We start from the raw sequence: 13,105 nt of genomic DNA on the forward strand, positions 1-13,105 counted from the left end.
TTCCTATTCTCTCGGCAGCCCTAGTTCTTTCCCTCATTTAACCTTTTCATAGAATCTAGTGGGGACTTTATCGACCAGATGCCAAGGGGCTGCCAGGGCAGGGCTGGCCTTCAGAGGAGGGGCATGGTGTGCCCAAGTCCTGCAGTTGGGGAAGGAGTAGGGAGCTGAGACCACAGAGGGACAGGGACAGAGGCTAGGGAGCAGCGTGCGCGGACACCTTGCCTGCGGGGAAGGCCTACGGAGGCCTTGCAGACAGCGTCTCAGCCGACACACAGGGCCCTTTAAGAAAAGAGGCACCGTGTTCTTTAAGAGTTCTGTAGCAGAGTCCTGGCAGTCCCGGGACTTCACACGCTGCACATTTACTTGTGCTTTTATTTACTTAATCTCTGTCTGTCCCGCGAGATTATAAACTGCAGGACGGCAGAGATCATTTCTGTTTTGTTTTGACCCTGCTTCCAGGGCTCAGTATCGTACCTGGGCTGTGGAGGATACAGAAATGCCGAATGAACAAATGAACGGATGACTGGGCCACATGGGTCCCAGGTGAATGAATTCTATCTGCCCCTTAAGGCCATCCCTTGATTCAATCCGACAAACATTTCTTCAACCTGAACTAACCCAAGAAGATCCGCATCAAGGGTCAGATTACTAAAGCACTGCCCACCTTCTGGGTGGGTGAACGTGAGGGAACAAATAGTGATGTTCCAGTGTGATTTGCCCACGCCCGGGGGGCAAGGGGAGCAGAGGGAACAAATGAACCGTCCCGCGCCTCACCAAGGGGCCACACGCGAGCTAAGTGGCTGAAGAGGAGTTCGCCTGCCTGGGAAGCCAGGGACAGGACTTCCAGGTGGAGGAAGTGGCAGCTGTGACTGAGAGGTGGAGTGGCACAGAAGCCTGTGTTGTGGCAGGAAGCAGAGGCGAGGTGGACAGGGTGGAAGGGTCACTGTTTGTCAAACACCTTGTTTTTCGTGGTAAGAACTTTGGGCCTTATCTTCCTGGAAATAACAAGCCACCATTGAGTTGTTTTTATGTTTGTTTCTTTTTTTGAGATGGAGTCTCGCTCTGTCTCCTAGGCTGCAGTGCAGTGGCTCCATCTCAGCTCACTGCCACCTCCACCTCCTGGGTTCAAGGGATTCTCCTGCCTCAGCCTCCCGAGTAGCTGGGATTACAGGTGCCCGCCACCACACCCAGCTAATTTTTGTATTTTTAGTAGAGACGGGGTTTCGCCATGTTGACCAGGCTGGTCTCGAACTCCTGACCTCAGGTGATCTGCCCGCCTCAGCCTCCCAAAGTGTTGGGATTACAAGCGTGCACCACCACACTCAGCCCCACCATAGAGTCATAAAAAGAACACAGATGTGATCATTCTTGCATTTTAGAATAGGAGCTCTAGGACCCATTTACCTGGGAAATACATTTTAATGGAGTCATTCACATGGTTTGATGTTTTGGTCGCTTTTATTAGTCGTCATTATTACGAAACATGTCTCGAACACCTTCTTCTGTGCAAGGTATTCATATTAGTTGCCCGAGGAGATATCAACAAAATGAAGGACCCATAAATTATAAGACATACCACTATTTTATGTTCCACCAAAAAGGAAAAAAACTGCTGCCAATGAAATTGTAACACGATGTTATTTTTTGAGTCTTATTATTATTTGTTGGAAGAGATGTTTCAAATGTATTGAGATTAAATTTCATCCTCTATCACTCTGTGTATAGAAAAAAGAAAGAAGTGAAATTAGTTGGCTACAATATTCTTAAAATTCTTCACCTGCAGTATTCAGCTCTTCTGAATGACATTACTATTTAGGGTTTGACAGTCATCCTTTATCTAGTGTTTCCCCAGTTGGGTGTGCATCAGCATTACCAGGAAAAGTGGAGGAAATGGAGGCCCGGGCCACATGCCGTTCCAACAGGCCTGGAGCTCTGTATTCCTTGTTGGTAACCAAAAGATCCTGAGACCCCCAAAGAGGAGGAAACGCTGCCCAGCACATCAGGAGAGATGGCACAGCAGCGCTTCTGAAGTGAGTGCCCGCTTCTGTTTTCAGTATTTTTTGTATTCGGTGAGTTTTCACAGACATGCATATGACAAGGTTGACACAACTGCCATGTGCCTGGCAGAGACATTGTTTCTGGGATATTAGAAAAGACATACGATGGGAACTTTACAAAATATGCAAGAAGTATATGAATGATAATAACTTGACTTCTATGAACAGGAACTAAGTAGATTGTGGCACAGCCACGCCATGGGAGATGCTCAGTGTTGAAAAGTCATTATGTAGAATGATATTTTCCACAGGGTGTTCCAGGACAGGCTATTCTACAGGGGCACCACAGGCAAAACAAGGTTGGGAGATCCTGCAAACCATGCCCCTTGCCTAGAGTTTCAGAGTGCGCTCAGCATTCTGAGAGTTCTGAGAACGCCGGGAGTATAAAGATTTTACATTTTAAGCTAGAATTTTCCAATTATGGCATTAAAGAAAGAAAAGGAAAATAAAAACTCGAGACCCCAATTCACGATGCCAAAGGAAAAAATTAAGCTGAAAGCTGAGTCATGCAGGAAGCTGCCTTTCCTTTTTGTTCCTAAGCAGAAGCTACAGATAGAAGGTTTGATATCTCCACAGGTAGCTACTCTGTGTTTGCCTTATCTTATGTAAAGTGCCGTTTTACGGAGTGTCAGAGGAATACGTACTGACTCTTCCCCTGCCCGCTCCTTTCCTCTTGCAACAAGTGGATTCAGTGATGTGACCATACCTTCCTTCTTTCCCCTCCGGCCTCCTTTTCCCCTTTATGTACCGAAGTCCTCAAAATCATCTTTGGAGAAAGGCATGTCTCTCAGGCATGTCCTTAACCTTGGCAAAATAAGCTTCTAAATTGATTGAGACCTGTCTCAGATGCTTTTTGGTTTACAATGTTCACATTATATTTTAAATAAACAGCAACAACAATAAGCCCATAAAAATGTATGGTGGCACCATTCCATTTTTGTAAGTAAAATTTTGGATATATAGTCATAGGAAAAAGACAGGAGGTACACTCAACAATAACAATGTTTAATAACGAGGGATTGAGTTATGTATAAATTTTCTTTTGTTTATTTGTATATTCTTTAGTAAATTGACACATTTTCTGAAAGAAAATGGTTATTAAAAATAGCAATAGTAAACTGACTTTATGAAAAGTCAGAGAAAGATTTGAGTTTTCCTGATATGTTCTGTGGAGGAAGCTTTGATGAATATTAAAAAAAATTCAGTGAGAAGATGGAGACTTGTTTTATGAAACTTCTCAATTTCCACGAGACAGGAAAAAAAGTGTTATTAGTCACACATCACAGTCAGAGGAAAGAAGAACAGAATAAATTGGGCATCATGTGTAATTTTTCTGTGGTCTTTTTCAAGGCCGTGCATGCATGAAATAGAACATTTTAAATCAACAAGTCAGGCTGGTTTGTCTGCGGTTCGATAAAAAGGCCAAGCAGAGAAGCCCGCTGATTGGATCTCAGAAATTCGTGAAGCTACTAAGGGAAGTCACCTTAAAGATAGCAGCTGATACCGTATCTTAGGGTAGGAATACCTCTTACAAGTTAGGTCATCTTGGGCAGCCTACTTAACTCTCAGGGTCCTCATTTTTTTGTATCAAAATGGCCATGGTTACTGCATTTGCTCCCTGGAGGTGTCGTAGCAAAGTACCCCAAACCGGGTGGCTTCAAACAACAGACATTTTTCTCACAGTACTGGAGGCCAGAAGTCAGCAGATGAGGTGTGGGCAGCCCCATCCTCTCTCTGAAGGCTCCAGGGAGGATCTTTCCTTGCCTCTCGCTACTCCTGGCTGCTGCCAGCAATCTTGGTGTTTCCTGACCTGGCTTGTGGCAGTGTAACCCCAATCTCTGCCTCCATCTGCACACACATCTTCCCTGTGTGTGTCTGTGTACAGATTTCTCTTTTCTTATAAGGACAGGAGTCATTGAATGAGGGCCCACCTTAATCCCTATGACCCCATCTTGCCTTGTTACATCTGCAATGACCCTATTTCCAAATAAAGTCGCATTCACAAGTCCTGGGGTTAGGACTTCAAAGTATCTTTTGAGGGGACACAATTCAACCCATAACAGTTATGGTGTTACAGCTATAATCCTTTCTGGGAAAAAAGCTGTTGTTCCCTATGCAGTTGGGTCTGTGAAAAACCAACTCAGGGACAACTCAACTGAACTCAATTCATACATCGAGGAATTCCCAGGATGCTGGTGGAAAAGATCAATTAAACTGCATCTCTGGATGCTTTTTTTTTTCTTTTTACTGAATTGGCAGAAAGACTCCTCTGCTAGATTTAGAGTGAATCTACCATTATAAAATTGAATCAACAACAAAAAGGGATAGGTGTGATATGTTGAAAAGATTCTACCAAATCTCCTCTAGACTGATTGCTCTTTTTAGAAGAATCTTCCAGGGTAACATCTCCCAACCCACACTCTCATGCCAAAGTGCATCCTGGCCCCACACGGGTGGCAGGCGGGCTGATCCCTACACATGGTTTCTGAGATTGATCAGGGGGCTTCCAGGTTCTCTTCAGCCATCAGTTTCTGAGAGGAACACCTGGGATTTCATTGCATCTCCAAATACAGGCACTGCTTCTTAATTCAGGCTCTCCGAGATTCTGCACCCTCCCCTGGGTATAGGTCAGGTCCTAGTAGCAGCTTCAGACCACCAGTAATCTAAAGCAGTTACTGCAGCTTTCAAAGGCCTAAAATCTCAGAGAATTATTAGGCACATGGGGAATATCTTTATTTGTTCATTTTGTTCTGTTTTTTGTTTTTTTTTTTACTGTACTGAGTATCATTTATAATTTCAAAACAGTGCAATAACAGTCAATGTAATTTATTAGCAGATTACCATGTGCCAGGCACTAGCTACAAGTTTTAGAAATATTAAATCTCTTCCTTATAGAAAACCTGCCAAACAGGAATTATTTTTATTTGACAGGTGAGAAAATAGGCTTAAAAAATGTATGACTTCCAAGGTTAAAGAATCACCTGATTTTAATACTATGCAGAATTTCTTACTTCAGCACTGTTTTAATGAATTGTCTGTAAATGTAGAAACTCCTGTTTGTTTTATTTGGATCAGATTCCTGAAAGTCGATCAGAAGGAAATGGTGATGTTCCCAGCATTTCTGTTATTTTTCTTTTTGCCATTGATCTAGGATAAATCATTTTGATCACTTTTGTTGCAGTTTCTGTATCTCAGAATACTGGTATTATATTTTTTGTTGTTCTCAGGTCCTGTGCACAGGCCTGTGGGAGGGGAGAAAACATTATCATGATCTAGAGGCTAGATTACTTTATTAGCAGCAATACCACTTGAACATCTAACTACAGAGTCACTCCTGAGGTTAATGAAATAATTTTTGTTTCCAGATGTTCTTTACATTGGGCCTAAGTCCACTGTGAAGAAAAGAAGAATGGTTTTGATTTTCTCGGTTGCGATGACCTAGCTGGCTCAAGACTTCCTCACTCGGTGGCTATAGACTATCTTCACCTGAAACTCCTACAAAGTGAAACATCCCAGGTCACTCCAGGAAGTCTTTCTGCGGTTAAACAAGCTGGCCTGAAAGCATTTAAAGTCCATGGCTTACCAAGCCAAACAAGAACTCCATTCAAGCAAAATCTAAGTGGAGAAGCATCGTTTCAGTCAGCCACATTTTAATCAGCGACACCTCATGAAATGTGGACTCAGACAAAATATTTTAAAATTCATTTTGCCACATCAATGCATTTATATCATAAGCAATATCCCTCAGAGGTCATGTGCTCTGCAGAAGTAGGGGGATTTTCTCCACAGTTTTTCTTCATATTGAGGACTTGGTGGAAATGTTTTCACTCAGAGTGGCCCCTCAGGCACCCTCACCTAGCTGAGGTGCCTATGCTCATCGACCACTACTACCTGTTCTTCAAGCTACCCTGGTCTACGATCACCACAAATCCAGGACCTGAGCAGAGCCTATCAGCATGTCATGGAAATCTTTCTGGAGTTTTCTTATAAATCTTTTCTTTTTTCTTTGCCCTGTGCATTATTCATAAACAAGTCATCCTAGTCTCTAAACAGAACAAGTTGGTCCTGTGAGCTACTGAGGATATGCGAATGTACTGCAAGACACACTTCACAATGTGTGAAATTATGATTACCTTGCAAAATCAGGACCATCAATATATACTGTTTTTTCTCTTTTTTCACCTAATTCACTGGGTCAGTAGGAAAAAAATGGAAGGATAAGAGGCCAATGAAATCACACTAATTTATTCAACAAATGTTTTTCCTGACTTCTGTGATGTATAGGGCACTGTAGTCAGGTGAAATAACAGTAAAATGGGAATCAGAAGACAGGATTTACTATAAAATTGATCCCTAATTATGTGACCATGAGCAAATTCCTGACTTTATGTCCCTCGGTTCTTTTATTTGTAGATTGGGAGTGATTTAAGCATCTGCCCACTCACAAACTATTATGAGGATCAAATGAATCTTTTTACTTGTGAGATAAAGGACAATGCAAGTGACATGCAGTGGTTTTCCTTCTCCACTGCTACCACTGTACCCCACCCCTGACTACGTCATCATCATCATCACCATCACCACCATCATCACCACCATCACCATCATCATCATCACCATCATCATCACCATCATCACCATCATCATCACCATCATCGCCATCATCATCACCATCATCATCATCATCACCATTGCCATCATCATCATCACCATCATCACCATCATCAGAATCACCATCATCATCATCATCACCATCATCACCATCATCACCATCATCATCATCACCATCACCACCATCATCATCACCATCATCACCATCATCACCATCATCATCACCATCATCATCATCACCATCATCACCATCATCACCATCATCATCATCATCATCATCATCATCATCATCATCATCATCATCATCATCATCATCATCATCATCATCATCATCATCATCATCATCATCATCATCACCATCATCATCATCACCATCATCATCATCATCATCATCATCATCATCATCATCATCATCATCATCATCATCATCATCATCATCATCATCATCATCATCATCATCATCATCATCATCATCATCATCATCATCATCATCATCATCATCATCATCATCATCATCATCATCATCATCATCATCATCATCACCATCACCATCATCATCATCATCATCATCATCATCATCATTGTCATCATCATCATCATCATCACCACCATCATCATCACCACCATCATCATCATCACCATCATCATCACCATCACCATCATCACCATCATCATCACCATCATCACCATCATCACCATCATCATCACCATCACCATCATCATCGTCACCATCATCGTCATCATCACCATCATCACCGTCACCATCATCATCATCATCGTCACCATCATCAGCGTCACCATCATCATCATCGTCACCATCATCAGCGTCACCATCATCATCATACCATCATCATCATCATCACCATCATCACCATCATCATCATCATCATCGTCACCATCATCATCATCTCATCACCATCATCATCATCATCACCATCATCATCATCGTCACCATCATCATCATCTCATCACCATCATCACCATCATCATCCTCTGCATTAGGTTTGTTCTCTAAAAACACGGTAAGGAGGGGATTTACTGAAGGGGCTTTGGGGATGTGTCCTTAGTTATCATATCTGTAAGGGAGCAGGAGAGGAAAAATTGGACAAAGGGAGAAAGTAAACTTTGATAAATCTTCAGCAGAGGCCACAGGATGCTATGGTGCTGAGATAACACCTTCTAGTTGCCCCAAAGGAAGACAAGGAGCCTGGACCTTGGGAGCCCTGCATCCACCCACTGCCTGCAGGCTGCCCACACTAGGAGACGCAGAACCAGAGGAGGCCATTCTTGGAGACAGACTCACTTGTGAGCCCTCAGCAATGCACACTCTGGGAGCTGGGTGAGTGGACACCTTAGTTCTGAAAGGGAGAGATGAGGGATTGTAGCATCCACTAAAATCATCATTATCATCATCATCATTATCATGGGCTTGAAATGGCCTTCAAGAAATCCTTGAAGGCTCCTGGTCATTTCGTTTCTATAATACAACAAAGAAAGAAAAGACAGAGTTTCCCTGACAGGTAGCACAAAATTAAAAATATTAGAGCTTAACCTCAGGGAAGGCAGGGAACCATGGCTCGCCCACCGATCACAGCAACACGAGATCCTAAATGTCCCAAGTGGCAGACACTGTACATCAATTCCATATCAAACATCCCTCCTCCCCACATCAATTGCCCCTCTACTGCCATTCCTTTTATTGAATGATAGATTCCCAGGGTGGAAAAGGGCTTTGCAGGTCAGGCGATTCAAGTCACTATCCAGCCACACTCCAAGATGGGCCATCCCCTGTGGTGGAGGCAACTACAGTTTCAAGCATCCTGTTCTTTTCCAGAGACTTCTCCAAGTGTGGCTGGAATCTGCCTTCTCACAGCTTTTACCATTATTGGTCCCATTGCTATGTTATGGGACAACACAGATCAGATTTAATCCATCCTCCATATGTGACACATACATATTTTGGAACTGCGCTTTTTTTGAAATGTGCTCAGTTTCCAAAACTTGTTCCTTTTCAAAGCCAAAACCTGGCCTCAATCCTTGGAATATCTTCTTTTCCTCTTCAATTGCGAAGATTGCTCCAAGTTTTTTCTAATCCATGTAAAACAGGATGGGGCAATCATCATACTCTTGCTGTTGGGCCCCTCTATACATGTGGTCTAATATTAAAATACTGGACTCTCAGCTCCATGGGTAAACGGTGTGATGTGGTTGGCAAATCAAGCTCTGTTTTTAAGCCATATCTTCCCTATCCTTGTACTAATGCAGCTGGCTTTTTTGAACAGTAGCATAGTATCTATGAGATCTGTGTGAAATGCAGATTCCAGCTATTGAGATCTTGGTGTATACTAATCTTTTTTCAGGATTTTTTTTCAGTACCATTAATGTGATTACATACACACAAAGTGAACAGAAATATTGGCCAGAACAATAGAAAGTAGAAAAGAGAGAAAGAATGAGACAGAGAGAGAAAAGCTCTGTTATTCCCATCCCCATCCCCGTTCCCACTAGACACACAGACACACAAACCAAGAGATGACATTAAAGGAATAAATGAGGCAGAGTGAGCATCTCTCCAGAAGGTAGAAGAATGAGTTTTCTTTTAAGTTTTGCTCTTAATTTCTGGCACATAGTCATTATTTATTAAATGGGAACACCTACTCGGTACTTACACATCAAGCTAAAACATCCATGAAAAATTATTTCATAATGTCACAATATATTTTTTCATAAATTCTTAATTCCAGCCATCTGCTCTATACAACCCATGGTTGCTAATTTCTCTACCCAACTTCTTTAGTGCTACCAAAAATGCATGGCTCAAAATAAATAATTGGATTTTTCAGATTTAAATCTTCAGCTCAAATGACTTTACTGAATTAGGAGAAAGAAGAGTATGGGAAGGATACCTAACACTCCTGCATTCTCTATATATTAATTAAATTAAAAATTTAAATTTCCACTATAATTTTCCCAAGAGTTCCAGGCCCCAGGTATGATATAGTGTTAAGAGGCACAGTTGTAATCGCATGCCATTTGATTATACATTTGTACTGGTGATTTTTCCAAGTCAAACGGTGACTTCTTCACATTTTTTTCTTTGATTTCCCTGATTACTATTATTAACCTAGATGTAGCACATTGAATGGTGCTTAGGAAAATAGTGAGAAAATGCACATTCTGGTTGGCCCTCTAGATGCTCTCAAATCATAGTTTGGAGAATGAGCCACTAAGCTATTGGAATTTTCCCAATGAATGGATTTGCAAGATGACCATATAGAGGTCTGAAACCCAGCACACATAGGTGCTGTGAGGTGGGTCAGCACATTTTTGCCACCTAGCTCTTTGAATCACCCACTATCTGATTTTGAGTCTGCAAATAGAAAATGGTTATGGAAGGAAGCAGCTGAACAAATATCATCATAAACGCTGAAGAAGTAGGAGCATATCTTTTGTGTGTTGGAAGAGGCCCCCTTTTGATCTCTGAAGTGCAACCAAATTAAGAAAGGGAGTGGCTTCTTCGGGGAAAGTAAAAGCTCATGGCCAAAGGATCAAGAACATTTTCTCAGGATAGAGACTTGCTAGTTCCATTGCTTCTTTTTTCAAGTGTAACCCAAATGTCTTGGGTTGGTGCTGTTTGTTGAAGTAACATGGTTAATTATTTACCTTTCTCACCATTTGGCTAAGATTCTTTTCTTATCAAATTGCCCTGTCTGAACCCAAAACAAACACCCTCCTGAGGGCGGTTAGCCATCACCTTAAGCTGGGTTTGTGTGAGGGTGGCTGGACATTTTTCTACTATTTTTCTCACGGCCTCTGTTGTTTCCAGTAGCCATTCTGCTAGAAAGGCCCAGAGCTAACTTGTGCTACTATATGGGTACTTAGGGTTTGCTGTGACTTGGTTCTTTTTTATTTTTTTAGACCTGCTCTTTATAACTCTTCCTTATTTGGGCGCTATTCTAATTCCTCCATTCAACACGGTGTTTCAGATTTCACTAGAGAAAGTAGCCTTTTATCTTCTCAAGGTTTTTCTGCCATTTGAACTTTTGATCGTACACTTGATCGTACACTCTAAAATGGACCCAACATGGTCATCTAGAACTGGGATGATTTAGTCATTAAAAATAATTAGACAGCAAAAGGGATATTTTGGGCTCTTCTCTTCTTTCCTCCAAGACTCCTACAGGAGCAGATTGCTCTGGCCAAATGTGGCAGAAGAAGAGCGGGTAGGTGGGGTGGCTTCAATCCACAGAGGCTCTGTTGCTGCAGCAACTTTCAGTCTAAATTCCATGCCCAGACGAGGCAGCTATTCTTAGCCTTGACTTTGGAAATAGTTTTCTCCCTTCTTCAAGTACATCACTCTTGACCTTTTATCTTTACTTTAAAGGTCTTGTGCAGCTGAATCCTTTATTTGTTTCCTCAAATCATTTTTAGGAACAAGGAAGATGTTAGAATAGGAAAGGAATAACAAATGGATAGGGCCCTGAGGGGTTAAATCACCTGGCCAGATCACACATTGAGTAAGCAGCACCTGCTCTCCTTCAGTGAGTCCGGCATTCCATGAAGGGTTACTAAGTTTTTATTATGCCGCAGGTATGTGGACGGGTGTTGGCCATGGAGTGGTAACCAAGACAGAGTCCTTTCCCTCAGGGAGCTTACAGTGGAGACTGAAGGACAGTTCTCTTGACTCCTAAAGTTCTATTCTTTCCACTACACTCTGAGATGTTACCAGTGCTTTAAAAAATACATTTCCTATTTTTCCAAATAGGACTGAACTGAGGCAAAACTGTGAAGTCAACAAGACCTCAATGCTGTCATCTCTAAAGTGGAACTAATACTAGCACCTTATTAAAATGGTGAAAGATTAAATGAAGTAACTCCTTCAAAGGGCTTAGCATAGTGTCTGGCACATACTAACTGTTCAATAAATGTTAAATAGTATTACCAGTATTGTGTTCTCTGGTTTTAATATGATCAATCCTTTTATTGAAGAGAAGCAATTTCAATATATTTGAAACTTACGAATATTAGTTCTTTGAATATTAACACTTGGTAAGGCAGCAGCTTTCAGTCTTTGCACTTATGCCATGATAGATGGTTTCCCTAAATTAAGCTGAATCATGTTATAGGTAGACATTCCCTTGTCTGGAATCTTTTCTAGGCACTAGTTAAGATTTAAAATCATCTAACTTTATGTAAAAACCCCATCTGATGCTGTTACATATCTATAAAAAAGATTGTATTATTTTCTTAGATTTTAAGATTCTACCTTTGCTTAAAAGCCTTAGAGTATTAAATAGCCTTAAATCAAAAATTTACCCTGACCAACTATAATAAGATTATGTTTACTTACTTTACTTCTATCTATCTTGGCTGGTTAAAAATAAACTCCACATTTTGACTTAGAAGTCAATGATTTTGATTTGTGTCAAATGAGAGTATGGGAGAATTTGGTCACCATGGACGTGGTTTGGTCACAATTTGTTTTGGTTATTATAGGTTAAAGCAGAATCCAGTGATAGCTGATGAAACAGAATTATTCCTTTTCTTAATTTCAGTTTCTTATATCTTAAAGTTACTCTCATCCCAAGCTTAAAATTGGTCTAGGATGTGCACAGTTGTAACTTTTTTCTGAAGATTTATTTAAAAGCACATTTGGTTACCAGCAGTCTATGAAACCTTCCTTGTAATAATTCAATTTGCTCAAAGTTCTCCTGTGGAAAAAAGTGTATATGTATCTTCCCCATAAAGGACTTTGAGAGAACAGTAACCTACTTTCACAGCATAGGTTGGAGACCGTTTCTGAACAAGATAAAACTATCATTCATGATTAGTCCGAATTCAGGGGTAATGCTGAGGTCTAATATTTTTTGAAACTTATGTTTACATCCTTGATAAAATTCTTTTCTTCTAGTGATGGCAGAAACCTAAAGCAGTTTTGATATTCTAAGGTCTTTCCTATCTAGCTGTTACAGAGTATTAAAAGCACTACTGTACATAGTTGGAACATTTTTGTTATCACATTTTCTTCATATGTGGTCTTAAAATGGCTAATTCCAAAGAACAAAAGATAAGTTATCCATGGAAAATGAAGTCATGATTTTATCTGTACCACCCCATCTGACTATAACTACCATGCACATTGTGTCCAAGTAATGTGAACATGTCTGGTTGGCACAGCTACAATAGCAGGGCTGATAAGTAACTGATCAGCTTATCCACAGCATTCCTTTCATGGGAGGTCACTGTCCCCTTTGTTTCTAAAAGTCCAGCAAAGCTTAAGCATTCCAGAACCTGGTAATTCAAATTAATTACATGGTATCATGTACATGGCTCCTGGGATTATCACCTTGTAATACTGTGGCTTCTATGCTTTTAAGTTTGCCTAATTAAATCCTTTCAAATGAAACCAGTTAAGCAATTAGTGCTACTACACTATG

General features: G+C 41.0%; 1 protein-coding gene across 10 annotated transcripts in view, besides 1 other annotated feature; it reads right to left on the minus strand.

Annotated features, from left to right (window-relative positions):
* Positions 1 to 13,105, minus strand: part of SORBS2 (sorbin and SH3 domain containing 2) — a 370,850-nt gene that overhangs the window by 234,873 nt on the left and 122,872 nt on the right. The gene's annotated exons all lie outside the window — the stretch shown is intronic.
* Positions 490 to 1,317: an enhancer, noted in NCBI's record as "H3K4me1 hESC enhancer chr4:186742039-186742866 (GRCh37/hg19 assembly coordinates)". NCBI's record gives its function as "activates a minimal SCP1, AML or CMV promoter by ChIP-STARR-seq in naive H9 embryonic stem cells {active_cell/tissue: H9 hESC(naive)}" and the evidence as "EXISTENCE:reporter gene assay evidence [ECO:0000049][PMID:30033119]".

The sequence above is a fragment of the Homo sapiens genome, chromosome 4, assembly GCF_000001405.40.
Source record: "Homo sapiens chromosome 4, GRCh38.p14 Primary Assembly".
Classification (NCBI taxonomy): Eukaryota; Metazoa; Chordata; class Mammalia; order Primates; family Hominidae; genus Homo; species Homo sapiens.